The sequence below is a fragment of the Homo sapiens genome, chromosome 13 (assembly GCF_000001405.40).
Source record: "Homo sapiens chromosome 13, GRCh38.p14 Primary Assembly".
Lineage (NCBI taxonomy): Eukaryota > Metazoa > Chordata > Mammalia > Primates > Hominidae > Homo > Homo sapiens.
In genome coordinates, this window is record NC_000013.11 from 56,384,489 (window position 1) to 56,405,249 (window position 20,761).

Sequence of the window (20,761 nt, forward strand, 5' to 3'; positions counted from 1 at the left end):
ACACCACACATTATTTATCCATTCTACTACTTGTGGGTGTTTGGATAATTTTAAATTTGTTCCACTATAAATACGTATAATCTAATCATCCCACTACCTGACATTTTGGTGAATATATAAAGAAAAAACTAGAAGCATGACAGCTTGAACATAGAGTATGTCAAGGTTTTATTGTAATAGGAAAACCCAGAAATATTTTCTAATGTGACTATAACAAGTTACCCTTCCTCCAGCAGTGTATAAGAGTTGTGGTTGTTTCCTATCCTTACCACATATGACATTTTCAATATTTCCATTTTAGCCATGCTGCTAGGTTATTAGTTGTGATACATTATAGTTGCATTTTTAACTTATTTATAATTTTGAGCACTGTTTATATCTTACTAACAATAAAACAGTGCTCCTGTTGTATTGTCTCAATTTTTAGTCATTAGTAAAAATTATCTGTCTTATGGATTTGAGTCCTTCCTTAGATATGCATTTCCAGTAACTCTTTCTATTGTTAGTAGTTTTGTTTATTCTTATTGCTATCTTTTGTGAACTAAAGTTCTTGATTTTAATATGGTCCAATTTATAGTTTATATTTTTATTAGTAGTACATTTTTGTCATATTTCTTTGTATGCTTTAATGTCATCAAAATGCTTTAAATTTTCTTTTCCTTTTCATTGAAATTCACTTGAAATTGTGTATGTGTGTATAGTGTAAGATAGGGAGGATAATTTTCTTCTTGATAATATGATATTGATCCCAATCGGGTGGTCACTTATAAGCAAGTGTACTTCTGGAATCTGTATTCTGTTATATACTTTAGTTTCTGTAAACTTACACCAATACCACATTATTTTAATTACTATAGTTTGATGGTAATTGATATTTGATTGTTCAGCTTTTATTCGTCTTTAAGACTGCTCTATCTATATGCAATTTGCATTTTGATATACATTTTTAGAATAAGATTAATTTAAAAAGAATTAACACACAATACCAAGTTCTTCAATATATGAATATATTGGTCTTAATATTTTTTTAGGTCTTCATTAGTGATGTTTTGTAGTTTTCTGTGAAGAGGTCATATATATATATATATATATATATATTTTTTTTTTTTTTTTGAGACGGAGTCTTGCTCTGTTGCCCAGGCTGTAGTGCAGTGGCACAATCTTGGCTCACTGCAACCTCCACCTCCAAGGTTCTAGCTATTATCCTGCCTCAGCCTCCCAAGTATCTGAGATTACAGGCACATGCCACCACGCCCGGCTAATTTTTTATTTTTAGTAGAGACAGGGTTTCACAATATTGGCCAGGCTGGTCTTGAACTCCTGACCTCGTGATCTGCCCACCTCAGTCTCCCAAAGTGCTAGGATTACAAGCATGAGCCACCACACCCAGCCATATTTTTGTTATTTTTCTAATTATTTGTTAAATTTAATTACATTATGAAAGCAATATTTTTAATTTTAATGTCCATAATCTGTTAACTTTTATTATATTGCTGGTTTTATTGGTTAATATACTATTTTTACAATTTTTGTCCCTATGGACATCTCTTTCTTTTCAGTGTTTTTACTGTGGTTGTAATGAACACAATTATCATAATTCATGCTAACTAATAAGTATTTTCAAACTTTTGAAAAACATATCTAAACACTTTAAAAAATAAAAATATGAAATAATTATATTTCTAAATATTCAATACAAACTAACTGAGTAAAATATTTGGACATATAACATTAAAAAGCAGTAAAGTATAGAAAAGACAATATACAGATTGAGTGGAAATATTTGCAAGCCATAGACCTGATAAGAGATTATGTCCAAAATACATAAGGAACTCAAATAACTCTCTTTACAAAAACAAATCTGGATAAAAAAATGGGCAAAGGATCTGAATGGACATTTCTCAGAAAAAGACATATAATGACCAACAGATATTTGAAAAAAAATTCAATATATCTAATCGTTAAGGAAATGCAAATCAAAACTACAAGATTTCATCTCCCACCTATCAGAATGGCTATCATCAAAAAGACAAAAATTACCCAGTGTTAAAAAGGATATAGAGAAAAGGGAGCCCTTGTATACTGTTGGTGGCAATTTAAATTAATACAGCCATTATGGTAAACTGTATTAAGGTTCCACAGAAAATGGAAAAATAGAATTATTATATAATCCAGCAATGCCACCTTTGGGTATTTATTCAAAAGATTTGAAATCTGTATGTTAATGAGATGTCTGCACTTCCATATTTATCACAGTACTATTTACAATAGCCAAGTTATAGGATCAAGTCAAGTGTGCATCAACAGATGAATGGATAAAGAAAATGTGTCATATATACACAAAAGAATACTATTCAGTCTTAGGAAAGGAAATTATGTCGTTTGTGACAAGGTGCATATGCATGGATAACATTATGTTAAGTGAAATATGTCAGGCACAAAACAGCAAATTCCACATGTTCTCGCTTATATGTGTAATCTAAAAAAGTTGAATTTATTAATGAAGAAAACAGAATGGCAGTTACCAGAAGCTGAGGATGTGGGGTAAATGATGAGATGGTAGTCAAAGGTTACAGCACCTCAATTAGACTATAGGAATAAGGTTTGTTTATTTGAGATCTACTGTGCAGCATGGTATATATAGTTAATAGTAGTGTATTGTACATTTCAAGATTGGTAAGGGTAAATTTCAAATGTTCCCACCAAAAAAAAAGACAAGTGTTTGTGGTGATGGATATATTAATTACCTTTATTTAATTATTTCATATTATATTCATGAATCATAACATCATTTGTACCCCATAATTTGTCAATTTACAATAAGAAATTTTTAAACACCTTCAAATTGAATAAACATAAGGCATGAAATATCTATTTATATACAGCTAGTAAAACTGGGAATTTTAGAAAATCAGCACATTTTAATCGTTTTATTTATGAATAAAAAGGTAATCTAAAGAGAATAAGAAAATAATTTCCCATTGTAATCAGATTTAGCCAATTCCCTTTAACATAATTTATAATTTCATTTCCAAAACTTATATATTTTAGAAATGTAACTCTTTGCAAATCAATTATATTTATATTATAAATCATCACTTAGTTGGATAACTTCCACATTACTTAAGGAATACAACTTCTTCTTTGATTTGTGAACTAGTTACCTGAGGATATTTAAATACAATAAAATATATTGTGTTGTCTGTGAAGATATTCATTTGGAAACAAAATACCAGTCCATTTTTCTGTGGAATCCTTTCTCTGTTTCACACTCACACATACCCACCCACACCCATACACAAGTCCTTTAGCCCCACCCAAGCAAGAAATAAAGGGTTTTTTTGTTTGTTTTGTTTTGTTTTGTTTGAGACAGTTGACTCTGTTACCCAGGCTGGAGTGCAGGGGCGCGATTTTGGCTCACTGCAACCTCTGCCTCCTGGGTTCCAGCGATTCTTGTGCCTCAGCCTCCCAAATAGCTGGAGTTACAAGTGCTTGCCACCCTCCAGGCTAATTTTTTGTATTTTTAGTAGAGACAGGGTTTAACCATGTTGCCCAAGCTGGTCTCAAACTCCTGGCCTCAAGTGATCCACCAGTCTGCCTCTGCTTCCCAAAGTTCTAGGATTACGTGCTTGAAACTCTGCGCTTGGCCTGTTTTTTGTTGCTGTTGTTTTTTGTTTTTTGGGTTTTTTTGGTTTAACTTTTATTTTAGGTTTTGGGGTACCTGTGAAGGTTTGTTATAAAGGTAAACACCTGTCACAGGGGTTTGTGGTACATATTATTACATCACCCAGGTATTAAGCCCAGTAACCAATGGTTACCTTCTCTGCTCCTCTCCTTTCTCCATCCCTACCCACTCAAGTCGATCCTAGTGTCTGTTTCCTTCTTTGTATTCATAAGTTGAAAATTTTTCTAGTCTTAAAGGAAAGTTTCTATTATATTCATATTTCTTCACTAAAATTTTCTTATACTGCTTTAGCCATGCTACCTTCTGATACACATGCCTAAACAATTAATACACTTTATTTTTAGAACTGTTTCATATTTGAAAGAAAAAAAAATGCAAGAATAGTGCAGCAGATTGTCATGTATCCTATGCTGTTTTTCCAGCTATTACAGTCTTATACTAGTATGGTTTATTTTTTACAATTAAGGAATTAATGTTTATATATTATAGGCCATATTCTATATTTTGTCAATAATTCCAGTCCTTTTTTCTGTTCTAAAATTCCATGTAAGATACCATTTTGACTTTAGTTTTCATTTATTCCTAGGCTCCTCATGGTAGTGAGAGTTTTTCAGACTTCCTCTTCTTTTTTTTTGACCTTGCCAGTTTTAAAGAAGATTGGTCAAGTATTTTGCAGAGTGTCCCCCTAGCAGAATTTGTCTAATTATTTATTTATTTAGTAATTAGATTTGGTTGATGTGTTTTTGGGAGGAAGACCACAGTGGAAAGTACATTCTCATCATAGTATAGGGTACATGCTATTGATATGATTTATCACTGTGGATGTAAATCTTGGTCAACTAGCTGAAGTACTGTTATTCAGTAGACTTCTATATTTTATTTTCTCTTTTCATACTGTACTTTTTGGAAAAATTGTACTCTTTAGAATTCTTTTGCATAAGTGATTTTTCTCTTCTTCCCTTATTATTTTTTCAGTCATTTATTTGTATTGATATGAATACTTGAATATATACTTTATACTTTGGTATGTAACCCAATACTACTTTACTTATTTTACTTGTTTTATTGCTCAACTGGTTTCATCTTTGGCCATTGAGCTCTTTTATTTGGCTACTGTATTCTTTTGACATACTCCCATTACAGTAGCTTTATTTTTTCCTATAGTGTTTTGTTTGTTTGATTAACTTTCTAGCACTACAGTGTTACAATGTTTCAGTATGGTTCCTTTAACTGAAGAATAGTATTAGAAATCAACATCTGGGCTCTGAGTGTGCTCTTTGCTACTGGTTCATTCTTGACAATCTTATATGGATATATACATATATGCATGTCTACTAACTTGTATATATACAAATATGTATAAGTAATTCTATATAAAGCTATCTGTATTTATATTAAGCAAAATGTCATTTTTCAGATATAGATCATTTTAGCCTTCATGATCTGTAAATTATTTGTCATTTGCACATCTTCTTTAGTTGACGTCTTTTCGGATATTTGGCCCATTTTGAATGGATTGTTTGCTTTCTAATTTTTTAATTAAAGTTCTTTGTTTGGACACACATCCTTTATCAGATCTTGTACATAATTTATTAGAATAATATCTATGTTTTTCATTTTCTTGTAATATTATAAATGGTTTTGTGATTTCAAATTTCAAGTTCTAATTGTCCATTACTGATATATAGGATAATTTGGTTTTGTAAAATAACCAATGTCCATGGTACACAGTTCTACTAGTATTAAGTATTTTCTGTCCATTGTTTGGGGTATTCTATACAGGCAATTGCGTGATTTAGAAACAGGCACAGTATTATTTTTCCCTTTGATATATGCATACTCCTTATTTCCTTTTCTTGTCTTATTGCACTATCTAGAATTTCCAATATGAGCTTGAATACGAATGGTAAGAGAAAATATTCTTGCCTTGTTCATGACCTTAGGGGAATATCTCTGGTTCCTCAGCATTAACTATGTTAGCTATAGAATGTCTGTAGGTGTGCTGTATCAAGTTTAGGAAGTTTTCCTATGTTCCTAGTTTGTTGAGCATTTTTTTGAAAAAATTATTCAATTTCATTAAATGCTTTCTATGAATCAATGTGACCATAAATGTTTCTTCTTTATCTAGTTTATGAGTTAGATTGTATTGATTTTTTTTTTTTGGCCATGTGAAATCAGGTTTGCATATTTGTAATAAATCTCCCTTAGTCGTGGTGAATAATTAATGTTGTACATTGTTAGACAGAATTATCTCACATTTTGTTTAAGTGTTTTTTTGTTCTTGTGTTTGTGTTTGCTTATTGCTTTGGCATCCATGGCTATAAGAGAAGAAATATTGGTTGTATTTATTTTTGTAATGTTTCTATCTGGTTTTGGTAGTAGGGTAATGCTAGCCTAATAGAGTGATTTAGGAATTGTTTCTTCGCTTCTATTTTCTGGGAGATATTGTGCAGAATTGCTATAATTTTTTTTAATATGCTGTTTGAACAAAATAAGGATTTGTTTTCATCCTAACTATATTTATCCCTATAGCAATGTTCACCAGCTGGACTCCTTGCCAAAATGAGCCAGATTATATTAAGAAAAAAATTAAGCTATTTTATCCTTTATCATTTACATTTTTAAACACATTTATTGACTCCATACAAAATTAAATATCTACATACTGTTAAATTTAATTAACATACTAACTACATTTTCCTTTTTCATTAAAATATTCTCAATGCCTAGCTCAATAAATAGTACGCACTCAGTAAACAGTCATTGCCTGATCATGCCTCCACACACACACAAATGCGTTTGGCAAAAATGTTTCAACAACTAAAAAATCAAGTTGCTGACTTAGTATAAAGAAGAATAATCTTATATCTTTTTAATGCTTAATGAAAACAGTAGGAAATCACTACTTGTAGAGAGATAAGGTATGGTGAAATATCTTATACCAATTTGCCTCCTACAAATTAGCTAGCTAAAACAATAGTGGAACTGAATTTTCACCATATCTATGACATATAAATAGCTATACACTTTAAAATAATGTCCTATAATATGAACTGCGTTGTTGAAAATGAGAGGTGGACATTGGCATATTAACACTATAAAAAGGGCACTAGTTTTTAAATTGTTAAAATTCTCATTGTCATACAGCTAGATAATCAGTATATGTCAATGTCACATTTAACACACTAATGAGAGAACCAGCAGAATGGCAGGGCTTATTAAAATTTAATATGAGAAACTGAGACTTACATAGTGCTGAAATAAGATTGTTAGTTTCAAGAACTGTGAAAAGTGTGAGAATTTTATACTACTTTCAGGCTTGACACAGTTTCATGGATACTTGTAGAACACACGAGATTCCTGGGTCAGAGACAGAGGACAGTTAATCAGAGCAATATAAATAATCAGAGTACAGCATTTTTGTTTTTGTTTTTACTTTCGTTCAGTTCCATGATCTCTAATACCTACAGGTTATTGGAATATGTCAAAAAAATTGTTGTACTAGACAGATTGAACAAACAAGGTAGACTTTATTTAAGACTATTGCGTTAGCAGTAGGAAAAGTCATTTTCAAGCAAATTGCCGTCTAGAAGTCAAAGGGTTTCTTCTGTGCATTCCTCTTTGTGAAGCCGAAAGAACCACTTCACACAATCCGTAGGCAAGAAATTAGGAAAAGTAGCAAGATTATAACGATAAAGGAAACAGACTGACCCCAACTTCACTGAAAAAAGGAAAGAATAGTTTTAAAGCACTATAGTGAGTTAGTAGAAAAGTAATGGAGACATTATCAGAGAGGTGTTTAATGTGATTAAGCCATCTGTGTTTGTTAATTTGTGCTTATCTGAGTTTGGCTCCTACCCTTCTACAGAGACAAGGCTACTATATTTCCTAATGATTATATTTAAAACGGATGGCTGTCACTTTCTTATAAGATGTTCCTTGCCAGGCACAGTGGCTCACGCTTGTAATCCCAGCACGTTGGGAAGCTGAGGCAGGCGGATCACTTGAGGTCAGGAGTTCAAGACCAGCCTCACCAACATTGTGAAACTCCTGTCTCTACTAAAAATACAAAAATTAGCGTGGTGTGGTGATGTGTGCCTGTAATCCCAGCCACTCGGGAGGCTGAGGCAGGAGAATCTCTTGAACACGGGAGGCGGAGGTTGCAGTGAGCCGAGATCATGCAACTGCACTCCAGCTTGGAAGGCAGAGCAAGACTCCATTTGAAAAAAAAAAAAAAAAGACATTCCTAGGCAAAACTAGCAAGAGGCAGGGGCGGGGGGGAACAGGAGGGGTGGGGGTGGGAGGGGGAAAGGGACGGACGGGCATTGGGGGGATGGTGAGGGGTGCCGAGACCAGCTCCGTGGGGGAGACCCTAACCCAGCAGTGCTAGAGGAATTAAAGACACACACACAGAAATATAGAGGTGTGAAGTTGGAAATCAGGGGTCTCACAGCCTTCAGAGCTGAAAGCCCCAACAGAGATTTACCCACGTATTTATTAACAGCAAGCCAGTCATTAGCATTGTTTCTATAGATATTAAATTAACTAAAATATCCCTTATGGGAAACGAAGGGATGGGCCAAATTAAAGGAATAGGTTGGGCTACTTAACTGCAGCAGCAGCACGTCCTTAAGGCACAGATCGTTCATGCTATTGTTTGTGGCTTAAGAATGCCTTTAAGCAGTTTTCCGCCCTGGGTGGGCCAGGTGTTCCTTGCCCTCATTCCGGTAAACCCACAACCTTCCAGCGTTGGCGTTATGGCCATCATGAACATGTCACAGTGCTGCAGAGATTTTGTTTATGGCCATTTTTGGGGCCAGTTTATGGCCAGATTTTTGGGGGCTTGTTCCCAACAGAGTGGGGGATGGGGAGGTTGGGAGGGGTGAAGATTTACATCTCAAAGGAGACAAAAAATAATTTATAACTACACATTTTCTAATATAAATTTTCTAAAAATAAGTGAGGCCAGGGGTGTAGAGTCAGGAAGAAAGCTGTGGAAAATTTAATCAAGCTAAGGAGAACCTGAAGGTAGTCTTGGTTCCATGACACCTTTATAAAGAGGAATGCATGTTTCTGAATTTGGTTATATCAAATTCTTTGATAAAAGTCAGTAGTCATGACTCATCTTTACTCCTGAGGAAGACACTTTATTGTCTAATTCTGTTTACTATACAAATCTCTGGAAAAGATAGTCTGGTACAAAGGGTACCTTCCTCTCAAAATGTGCAGAAGTGTAGAAGACCCATGGATTATTGTCTCCCAATCCTAATTTAGATATAAATTGTGGAAGGAAAATAAATCTCAGGATCCCCAAATTACTAAGCCAAAGGAAAAAGTCAATCTGGAAACTGTCAGGCAAACCTACACCCCATTTTCTTCCTAAATAAAATAGCTACAAAGGAAAAGAAGAAGAGCTGAATACCTCCCTCACAATTTGTCCTCTAGGAAAGTCCTTGTGGGCCCTAAGATATTTACTCTAAAATGGTTCGCTGAATTTCACCCTGACAATGTAAATTGATGGCATATCTTCACAGGTGCAGGACAAAGGAAAGACAGAGCTCTAAGTCATCCTTCTGCTCACCTGAGACAAATTGTTATCTGATTGCTTCTTCTGATGCAAAAATGCAGACACTTCTACCCCTCTCTAACTTGTAAATTGCATATTCAGTGAAAGGCTGATCAAAGACTCAAAATAGTGCAACTGTTTGTCTCTTACCTACCTACACCTTTTAAAAATTTATTCCTCTTTCCCCAATATCCACCATTTTCCCTATAAATATTGAAGCCCTCAAAATCATCTTTAGAAAACGTACAGACCTGCGTCTACCTTCTCGAAAGGTGCACGGTTTTTTGATTTTTGTTTGTTTGTTTTATTGTTTTTGTTTGTTTGTTTAGAGACGGAGTCTCGCTCTGTCACCAGACTGGAGTGCAGTGGTGTGATCTCGGCTCACTGCAACCTCAGCATCCTGAGTTCAAGTGATTCTTGTGCCTCAGCCTCCTGAGTAGCTGGGATTACAGGCACACACCACCACACCTAGGTAATTTTTGTGTTTTTAGTAGAGACAGGGTTTCACCATATTGTCCAGGATGGTCTCAATCTCCTGACCTCGTGATCCACCCGCCTTGGTCTCTCAAAGGGCTGGGATTACAGGCATGAGCCACCACGCCCAGAAGAAAGGTGCATGTTTTTAACCTTAGCAAAATAAACTTTCTAAATTGACTGAGACCTGTCTCAGATACTTTTTGGTTCACAAAACCTTGTTAATGTGTTATGGATAACAAAAATCTAACATCTTGGTTATCTTCTATGTTGGAAAGAAAAAATGAGCAGACCTCATAAGCTGTCTTAAATTAACTTTTATCTTTAGATAGTTTAAAACACAGGCCTCATAATAACTAAATACTCAAAATTGATGTATTTCTTTAGAGTCAGATGACATTTTGAGGGGCTTATTAGAAAATGAGGCAGCATGAGAAAAATGTCGCATATTCACATTTCTGACTTTTTACCCCAAGAATTGATATCTATCCTGAATGGTCAAACCTGTGGTTTAAAATAATCTCTGAACACTATTTCTAGTCACAAATAGAGTAGGTTTATTGTGTTTGTGCTAAGATCATTTGAAAGATTTCTAGCTTACCTTTTCCTACCCATTTTTACAGATAATGGAAATTTGACATAGATTCAAATGATAGCCTACAACTTGTAAATCAAAGCAACAACAATAATAATAATAACTGAGGCAAGTGTCAATTAATTTTGAGGTTTATTTTGCCAAGGTTGAGATTGTGCCTGGGGGAGGGGAGTGGGATGGGGTGGAGGAACAAACAGAAATCACATCTGTGATCCATACTTTTCCCAAAGAGAGTTTTGAGCACTTCAATATTCAAAAGAGAAACAGTAAGCAGGAGGGGAAGGAAGAAAGAAAAAAATTGGGGGAAGGTAGGCAATGAGGCAAGTGGTTACATTCTTGTAAGGCTTTGATTAGTGCTCAGTGAATTCATATTTTACATGTGAAAGGAAAGGGTAGAGGAATAATCAATTATGCATTTGCTTCATGCTCAGTAAATCTGCATTTTACATAAGATAAAGAAAACATGGAGGAAGGAGTGAAATATGATTTCTAGTTTTGTCTTTGTCCTGTTCCTAAGAAGATAAGCTGTTAATTTATATTGTCAAGATGAGATTCAACAGTACTCTGTTTTAGGGTTAGTTCACAGAAGAATCTGTATTCTAAAAAATTTGGCGGCCCACAAGGAATTTTCTGATGAGCAATTTGTGAGGAAAGTGACCTGGAGAGATATGTGACTTTCTATCATTGTAGCTGTCTGTTTGGAAAAAAGAAAGAAGGCAGTTTTTTGTTTTGCTTTGTTTTGTTTTTTCATAACTCAGTTCTCACGCTTTTCTTTTGGTATAGTAAGTTCGAGGGTCCCAAGACTTTGTTTTTCTTCCACAATGTGAAATCAAAATTACCATCAATATTTGTACAATTAATACTAATTCAGTAGTAGGTAGTCTGTGAATTTATGACAGTATATGTGTATATTATATTCTATTTGACTAATTTATTTACATAGCTTCCAAAGTTGTATTAGCTAACATTTTGTCTTATTCTGTTTTCTACTGCTACAACAGAATACCTGAGATGGGGTAATATGCAAATAATAGAAATTTATTTTACTCATTTCTGGAGACTGGGAAGTCTAGGAGCATGGTATGGACATCTAAGAAAGGTCATCTCATAGTAGGAGGGCATAAGGCATAAGTGAGCTCACAAGACGAGAGAAATCAGGCCAAGCTCATCTTTCTTGTCAGGAGCTCACTGTTAGTGTAACTAACCCACTCCACAAGAACAGCATGAAACCATTTTTAAAGCTTCCACTTCCCAGTACCATTACATTGATAATTACATTTCAACATGAGTTTTGGAGGGAACATTCAAACCACAGCACATTTTTGCTGCATTGTCAATAAATTTAAAAGCACAGGGTATGAGGTTAGATGGTTAACTTATGTCTTGGGCCTTTACAAAGCTGGAATTAAAGTCATTTACCTGGTCTAAGGCTAGGATTACACAAGCACTAGAAAAGCATAACATTAATTACATCAGAAGATTTTGTAAGCATCTTTTTCACAAAAGAAGTATAATAATTGTAATTGAATAGTGAACTGTATCAGAGAAGTATATTTAAATTAGCATTACTGGAATATATATATGTGTATATGTAAATTATGGTTATTCAGTTGCATGACGGTGGAAATGAGGGTTTTTCTTTCCTTTTGAGACAGGGTTTCACTCCCATCACCCAGGCTGGAGAGCAATGGTGTGATCCCAGCTCACTGCAACCTCCACCTCTAGGGCTCAAGAGATCTGACCACTTCAGACTTATTTTCATGACAATATACTTATTTACATATGTTTAATCTGACTTAAATCTTTATATATGTTATTGGTCATTGCTTGGAAACGTTGGCAGATGAAATAAGTAAAATTATTTCTATATTCTGAGTCATTTTTTCATATTCACTGAATGTTTTCTTATAATCTATGTTAATATTTCTCATATTTCACAAGTCTTGAGAAATACGATTAAACACAGTATCATCTGAAGAGGGTTTTACTCTAGTTTTTACACTGCATCTGTTAAATTCAGATGAAAGACAAGAAATATTTTTGTTAAATGCTCATCAGAAAATAAAGTATTTAAAGTAATATAAGATTATTTCTTGAGTCCTTGCTTTTTATGTGACAAGGAAAAGAACATGGTCATACCGAAAAGGGTGGTGGCCATGTGAAGCCCACTTGCTACACATACCCTGTCTGCTGTATGCCAGAGGATGTGGCCATTCAGTCGCTCAACACCTAGAAATGACAAATACTCCAAGTGATGGACATCTCAAATATTCTGACTTGATCATTACACATTCTATGCAAATAAAAATATCATATTTTACATAAATATGCAAAATTGTATGTATCAACAAAAAAAAGGTAGCATGGAAAAATGTTTGTTATTTGAAATACAGTAGAGACCACAGCCTTCAATTCCCCAAGGTCAGTGTCTTTGTTGCCTGTGTGCTTCCCAAGCTATGACACTATATTATTGTATAAGTTATGCCATTTATAGCAAGGTTGTTTTGTGAAAGGCCTGTATGTGCAAACCAATCCCCAAATGCAGAAGGATTTGAGAAATCAAAGAATGAAGTAGATAAATCAAGTTAGTCAGCAAAAGGCAATTTATTGGGGAAGTTAGGGACAGAAGCGTTGTCTTCAGCAGCTGCAAGACAGGTAGATCTCTGCACTGTTACCCCCTATACCCAGGGCTTATATATCACAGGGAAAGGGTATCATGCTTCAGAAGGAACATATAGCACAATTGAAGTTTACCCTTCAGGGAAAGGCAAGAATGAAATATGCTTTTTTGGCTATAATTTGCCTAAGGGCAGGATTGATGTTAAGTACATGTTTATAACATAAATGTTGTTTTGATCTAAGGGTAAGAGTTACAGTAAGTGCTTTTCCACAAGGGACAGTAAAAAAAGTATAAATCTTAGAGACATTCCTGCAACTGGAGTTAATCAGAAGTCAACATGAATTACCATCCAAGATGGAGTTGCTTTAGCCTCAACAGTAGTCAGTAACCATTCTTGTGAAGCCAGGAAAGAACCAACATGTCTCGCCTTAAGTTAGACCTGTGGGTGCTACCTCATAACCTCTACCAAAGCCCATATAAGAAGCTGAGTCTTTAAAGACTGAAGAAAATCTAAGCTCCAAAAAAAAAAAAAGAGGAAATTATATATTACACAAACAAACAAACCATCTTAAATAATTACAAATAATTTTATATAATCAATTTAATATATAATCAATTCAAAATCCATTAGATCTTTTGCTACAAGACTGCTTTTACAAAGTCATCTCTTCGGGGAAAATAGTCCTTAAGTTCTTGAGTCAGTTGCCTACTCCAGTAATATGGTTGTTGTTCATTGTGGTGATATTAGCGTAAACCAGTTACCTATTCCTTACAATATCAATAACCAAGGGCATTTGCTTCACTTCTTTTATATTTATTAATCACATATTAAAATGCATTATGTAAAGGAACAATAATAATAATAATAACTGAGGCAAGTCTCAGTTAATTTTGAGGTTTATTTTGCCAAGGTTGAAATTGTGCCGGTGGGAGGAGAGTGGGATGGGGTGGAAGAACAAACAGAAATCACATCTGTGATCCATACTTTTCCCAAAGAGAGTTTTGAGCAGTTCAATATTTAAAAGAAAAAGAGTAAGCAGGAGGAGAAGGAAGAAAGAAAAAAAATGGAGGAAGGTAGTTGCTACCTTAGTATTTATATTTTCTTTCTTATCTATGATTAAAGATCAATCTATTTAAAATAACTTGTTTCTGTAGAATGCATGAATGACAGATTTGGATGATTAGATAATTTCCGAGAATTTCCTCCAACTCTGTTCACAGTTACATATTATTGCAATTATAAACACAGCATTGTAATTGGCTAATTAAACTTCTTCTTTGTGAAAGGGGTAAAAGCTTTTCTTCTTTACAGATAACAGACAACTACCAGCAATTTCAATTCACATAAAAATAAACGTATGTGCAAAACCTATAAGAAAAACAAAAACACTTTTAAAGAGAAAGAACCCTGAAAACGTATAGTTGCCCAATTTGTCTTATATAAATTGTTACCATTTTTCACATTCATCAGAAATAATTTATTTCTCATTCACTGGATTTTGCTATGTGCAAACCAAAGAATTCCTTATATTAACAGTAAACATGGTCATAAAACTAGCAATCTTATTATTCTACTTCAGCTGGGTTGTTTTGCCTAAAAATCCTACTCTTGGAGATATCTGGCAATATTTGGAGACATATTTGGTTGCCACAGCTAGAACAACTTGAGTGTAGGGTTAGAGTATTACTGACATTTTGTGAGTAGAGGCCAGGGATATGATGAAATATTTATATTGCACAGGATAGTCCCTAAAATAAAGAATTATACAGCCCAGAATATCAATAGTGCCAAGGAAAGGTTTTGAAATCCTGCCCTACTTCATGTTTCCAAAGCTACCACAGACTATTGGACAGAAAAGCTGTTTTTGTTTTTGTTTTTCACACCCAGAGACCTCATATTAGATGCTTGGCACCTAATTGAAAGATGGATGTGGTGCTGCAGATTTTCACTCTTAAAGACTGTATTCAGATCTTATCACTTCCCATCTGAAACATACATAAGAAACATATTTCTCAGTTGTTGATTTTTCAAATGCAAACAGACCTTAACCAGATCAAATAAATAGGTGAATAATGATCAGATTTTGATATTGGAGATACTGAAAATGAACTTATAAATTTCTGGGTCTCAACAAAAACTAATCTATAGGTTATAGCAGTTTTGGTACAGGAAAATTAAGATAAGAAAAAAAAATCTTAATTTTTTTTCTGTTTTAGTGGATTGCAACTCAGCAAGCCCATCTAGAACATTACTACTTACAGTCAGTTTAACAAGCTAAAGAAATGTATCGTTCTTCAGCATCTACAAAAGATAGAACAGTAAGGATCCCAAAAGATAAAATCTTTTATACTAACTCATTATAAGGTTTAGCCCCATTCATTATTTTATGGGGTATTGATACATATTAAAAAAAATAGAGGAGAGAGAGAGAGAGAAATATAATGAAAAGGTAAGAAATACTCAAGGTTCAAAAAAAACCAAAAAATTTTAAAAAACAAAAAGACTATATGTATCGCAGAAGCACAGTTTAAGCATATAGGTTTAATGAGAGATAATGATAAGCATTCATTTAGGTGAGTTTGTTCTGGAATGTGATGGTGATGGCAAGAAATTGACACATTTTTATACAAGTTTTTCAGTATTTTTTCTTAAAATATTGTGCTACTTAATTATTTTTGCATATTGATAAGTTATATGTTACATAAATTCATGTAAATAAGACATATACATTGTTAAACAAAATTCATAACTTTCTGATTATTTTCCGGATCATCTTAGCATTATTTGTACTACAAATGGCCTATGAGTATAAAAATTAATACTTGCAATACTTTGTTATATTTCTGTAATGCTTTGTTATATTTCCCTTGTAAAGAAAGATCAAATTAAAACTGTCCCTATCTATATTTAAGAGTAAGAAACTAGGGGAAGCAGCAGAGCAAGATGGATAAATAAAGCCTTTACCACTCGTCCTCTGCACAGGAACACCAAATTAAACAACTGATCACCCAAAAAAGTACCCTTATAAGAACCAAAAATCAGATGAGTAATCACAGAGTCTTAAATTCACATCACTGAAAGAGGCACTAAAGATAGCAGGAAAGACAGTCTTAAATTTCTAATGCCACTCCTCCCCCATCCTCTAGAAACAGTTGTGAGGCCTGAAAAAAGAATTTTTCCACTTGTAGGAAGGAGATCACAATGATTGTGGGACTCTGCATTAATACTCAGTCCTGCCCTGTCACAGTGGAAAGCAACACTGAGCAGAACTCAGTCAACACCCACGGAGGGAGCTTTTAGATCAGCCCTAGCCAGAGGGGGTTCACTCATCCCATCAGTAGGAATCTGAGTTGTGGCAAGCATCACTACAGTGGGCTGAAGGGCTCTGGGTTCCTAAGTGAATTTGAAGGGCAGTAGAGGCTACAGGAATGCAGGTCCTGGGCAGGTTCTGGTGCTGTGCTGGGCTCAGGGCCAGTGGACTTGGAGAACATGAGATGTAGTGAGACACCAGCTGGGACAGCTAGGAGAGTGCATGTGCCAACCCTCCGCAACTCCAGGCAGCACTGCTTGCAGCACTGAGAGAGCTGACTCCTTCAGCGTTAGGAGAGGTGAGAGAAGAATAAAGAGGACCTTGTCTTGACATTTGGATACCAGCTCAGCCACAGTAGGATAGGGCACTGGCAGAGTCCTGAGAGTACCATTTCCTGCCGTTGCTCCTAGATGACATTTCTGGACACACCCTGTGCCAGATGGGAATCTGTTGCCTTGAAGGGAAGAAGCCAGTCCTGGCAGAATTCATTATCTGCCGACTAAACAGCCCTTGCACCCTGAATAATCAGCAGTGGTAGCCAGGCGTTACTTGCAGTGGGCCTTGGGTGAGACTCAGAGATATGCTGGCTTTAGGTGTGACCCAGCACGTTCCCAGCTATAATGAGAAGACTCTTTCTGCTTGAGAAAAAGTTAGGGAAGAGTAAAGGTTTTTTTTTTTTTTTTTTTTCTTGCAGTTTAGGTACCAGCTCAGCCAAGTGGAGTAGAGCACCAAGTGGACTCTTGGAGTCCCTAATTCCAGACTGTGGCTCTTGGATGGCTGGATGGCATCTCTGGACCTTCCTTGGTCCAGAGAAAAGCCCACTGCCTTGAACAGAGACTATTAGGCCTGGCAGAATTCACCACAACTGTCTGAAGAGGCTTTGTCCTTGAGTGAACATTGGCGGCAGGCAGACAGTACTCATGGAACTAGAGCAGTGGTAAGCATAGGGAAGAGACTCTTCTGTTTGTGGAAAGAGGAGAGAAGACTGAGAAAAAACTTTTTCTTGAGGGGTGTGTGCCATCTCAGCCACAGTAGATTAGCGCACAAGGGAGATTCCTAAGGTTTCCAACTCTAGGCCCTGGCTCCCAGATGGTATCTATAGATCCTGCCAGGGCCTGGGGGGAATGTGCCATGCTGAAGAGAAGCACACAAGCCTTGCTGGCTTTGCCACTGGCTGATTGTAGAGTGCTAGAGCTTTAAGGAAACATGGGTGATAGCTAGGTGGTGGTTATCAGGAGCCTTGGTTAAGAGATAATACTATGCTGGCTTCAGGCCTGAGCCAGTGAATTCCCAGTACTGGTGGCCACCAGGGTGCTTGTGTCATCCAAACTGGGAAAAAAAGAAGTCAAATTTTCCCAGTTTGAAGGTGATATAATCTTATATTTGCAAAAACTTAGAGTATTAAAAAAATGGAGAAAGATGGTGGAATAGAAGTCTCCAATATCATCCCTCACACAGGAACACCAATTTAACAGCTGTCTACACACACACACACACACACACAAACACACAAGAACAGAAATCGGGTAAGCACTGTAGTACCTGGTTTTAACTTCATACACCTGAAAGAGGCAATGAAGAGGTAGGAAATACTGTCTTGAATCACTTATGTCACTACTCCTCCACCTCTCCAGCAGCATCTTGTTGGGGAGAGCATTTCTCTGCCCCGGGGAGGAGGAGAGGGAGAGCCAGTAATTGTCTGGCATTGAACTGAATGTTCCCCTTGTTACAGCAGAAAGAAAAAACCAGACCAAATTCAGTTGATGCCAGCCCATGAGGGGAGCATTTAAACTAGCCCTAACCAGAGGTGAATCATTGATCTCAGTGGTTGGAACTTGAGTTTCCATAGGCCTTGCCATTTTGGGCTAAAGTGCTCTGGGGCTCTAAATAAACTTAAAAAGGCAGTGTAGGCCACAGCATAATAGGGCACCAGTAAGAGTCATGAGGCCCCCTTTCTAAGCCGTAGCTCCTAGATAACATTTCTAGGCACACCCTGGACAGAAGGGAACACACTGCCTTGAAGGCAAGGACTCAGTCCCGACAGGATTTATTACCCACTAACTAAATAGCCCTTGAGCCCTGAATTACCAACAGCAATACCTAGGTGCTATGTCAAGGGCCTTAGTGAGACTCTAAGACTTGCTGGCTTCAGGTGAGACTCAGCACATTACCAGGTATGGTGGCTACAGGGCAACATTCCCACTGATTGAGAAAAGTGGAGGAAAAAGTAAAGGGGGCTTTGTCTTGCACCTTAGGGGTCAGCTCAGCCACAGGGGTGTAGAGCAGAAAACAGGTTCTTGAAGTCTTTGATTCCAGGACTTGGCTCTTGGATGGCATTTCTGGATTTGCCCTGGGCCAGAACGGAGCCCACTCCACTGAAAAGTGAGTCACAGGCCAGGGAGCATTCACCACATGCTGACTGAGGAGCCCTTGGGCTGTAAGGAAACATCAGCAGTGGTCTTACAGTACTCCCCATGAGCCTGAGATGGTTGTGGCCATGGGGTGAGGTTCCTCTACCTCTGGAAAGAGAGGGAAGAGTAGGAAGAACTGTGTCTTCTGGTTTGAGTGCCAGTTCAGCCACAGTACAATAGAACACCAGGTAGACTTCTGAGGTTTTTGACTCTAGTCCTTGGCTCCAGGATGGCACTCCTGGATCCACCTGGGGCTTGGTGGAAATTACCACCCTGAAGGGAAGGACATAGGTCTGGCTGGCTTTGCCACCTGCTGATTGTAGAGCCCTAAGGCTTTGAGCAAACATAGGTAGTAGCCAGGGAGTGGTTATAGCAGGTTTTGAGTGAGACTTAGTGCTGTGCTGGCTTCATGTCTAACCCAGAACAGTCTTAGGGGTGGTGGCTTCAGTGGTGCTTGTGTCACCCCACTCCCACCTCCAGGTGGCTTAAAACAGAGAAAGGGAAAATCTGTTTGGAACAAAGTAAAGGAAGATAACAAGAGTCTCTACCTGGTAATCCAGAGAATTATTTCAGGTATGTTCCAAGACTATGAAGGCAGTGTGCTGTGAGTCTGAAGGAACCACAGTATTCCTGGGCTTGGGGTCCTCTAATAAACAGATGCAGCTCAGATCACAACACCTAGGTCCTTTTGAATATCTGGAAACCCTTCCCCTAAAGAATGGGTAAAATCAAGCCCAGACTACACAGACTATAATAAATACCCAATTATTCAGTGCCCAGATACCAAAGAACATCTACAAGTATCAAGATGATTGAGGAAACCATGACCTCACCAGATAAACTAAATAAGTCACCAGGGACCAATTTTGGAGAAACAGAGATATATGAGCTTTCAGAAAGAGAATTCAAAATAGCTGTTTTTAAAAAACTCAAATAGGCCAGGCACGGTGGTTCACGCCTCTAATCCCAGCACTTTGGGAGGCCGAGGCGGGGGGATCATGAGGTCAGGAGATCAAGACCATCCTGGCCAACATGGTGAAACTCCGTCTCTACTAAAAATACAAAAATTAGCTGGGCGTTATGGCGCATGCCTGTAATCCCAGCTACTCGGGAGGCTGAGGCAGGAGAATTGCTTGAACCAGGGAGTCAGAGGTTGCAGTGAGCCGAGATCGTGCCACAGCACTCCAGCCTGGCAACAGAGTGAGATTCCATAAAAAAAAAAAAAAATCCTCAGATAAATATAAGACAGAGAAGAAATTCAGAATTCTATCAGTTATATTTAACAATGAGATTAAAATAATTAAAAAGAGTCAAGCAGAAATTCTGGAGTTGAAAAATGCAATTGCCATTGTGAGGACTATATCAGTCTTTTAATAGCAGAATTGATCAAGTAGAAAAAAGAATTAGTGAGCTTGAAGACAGGTTATTTAAAAATACACTGTCAGAGGAGACAAAATAATAATAATAAAAAAGAAGCACATGTACAGGATCTAGAAAATAGCCTCAAAAGAGTAAATCTCAGAATTATTGGACTTAAAGAGGAGGTAGAGAAAGAGATGGCATAGAAAGTCTACTCAAAAAAATAATAACACAGGACTTCCAAAGCCTAAAGAAAGGTATCAATATCCAAGTACAAGAACATTATAGGACACCAAGAAGATTTAACCCAAAGAAGACCACATTAAGGCATTTAAAAATCAAATTCCCTGAGGTGAAGGATAAAAAAAGGAAAGAAACAACATGCAATGGATCTTCAATATGTTTGGCAGCAAACTTTATAGTGGAAACCTTACAGCCAGGAGAGAGTGGCATGACATATTTAAAGTGCTGAATGAAGAAAAACTTTTATCCCAGAATTACATATATGTAATTCTCCTTCAAACATGAAGGAGAAATAAAAACTTCTACAAAAAAGAAAAAAAAAAAAGCTAAGAATTTCAGCAACACCAGATCTGTCCTATAAGAAATGTTACAGGGAGTACTACAACCAGAAAGAAAAGGACTTTAATGAGCAACAAGAAATCATCCGAAGGTACAAAATTAACTGGTAACCATAAGTACAGAGAAATACACAGAATATTATAACATTGTAATTGTGG

The 20,761-nt window shown here is 36.5% G+C and overlaps 1 long non-coding RNA gene across 2 annotated transcripts in view, besides 1 other annotated feature; it reads right to left on the reverse strand.

Annotated features, from left to right (window-relative positions):
* The window catches only part of LOC105370214 (uncharacterized), a 477,307-nt gene that overhangs the window by 126,173 nt on the left and 330,373 nt on the right, over positions 1–20,761 (reverse strand). The window lies entirely within an intron of this gene.
* Positions 11,784–12,285: an enhancer, noted in NCBI's record as "NANOG hESC enhancer chr13:56970406-56970907 (GRCh37/hg19 assembly coordinates)". NCBI's record gives its function as "activates a minimal SCP1, AML or CMV promoter by ChIP-STARR-seq in naive H9 embryonic stem cells {active_cell/tissue: H9 hESC(naive)}" and the evidence as "EXISTENCE:reporter gene assay evidence [ECO:0000049][PMID:30033119]".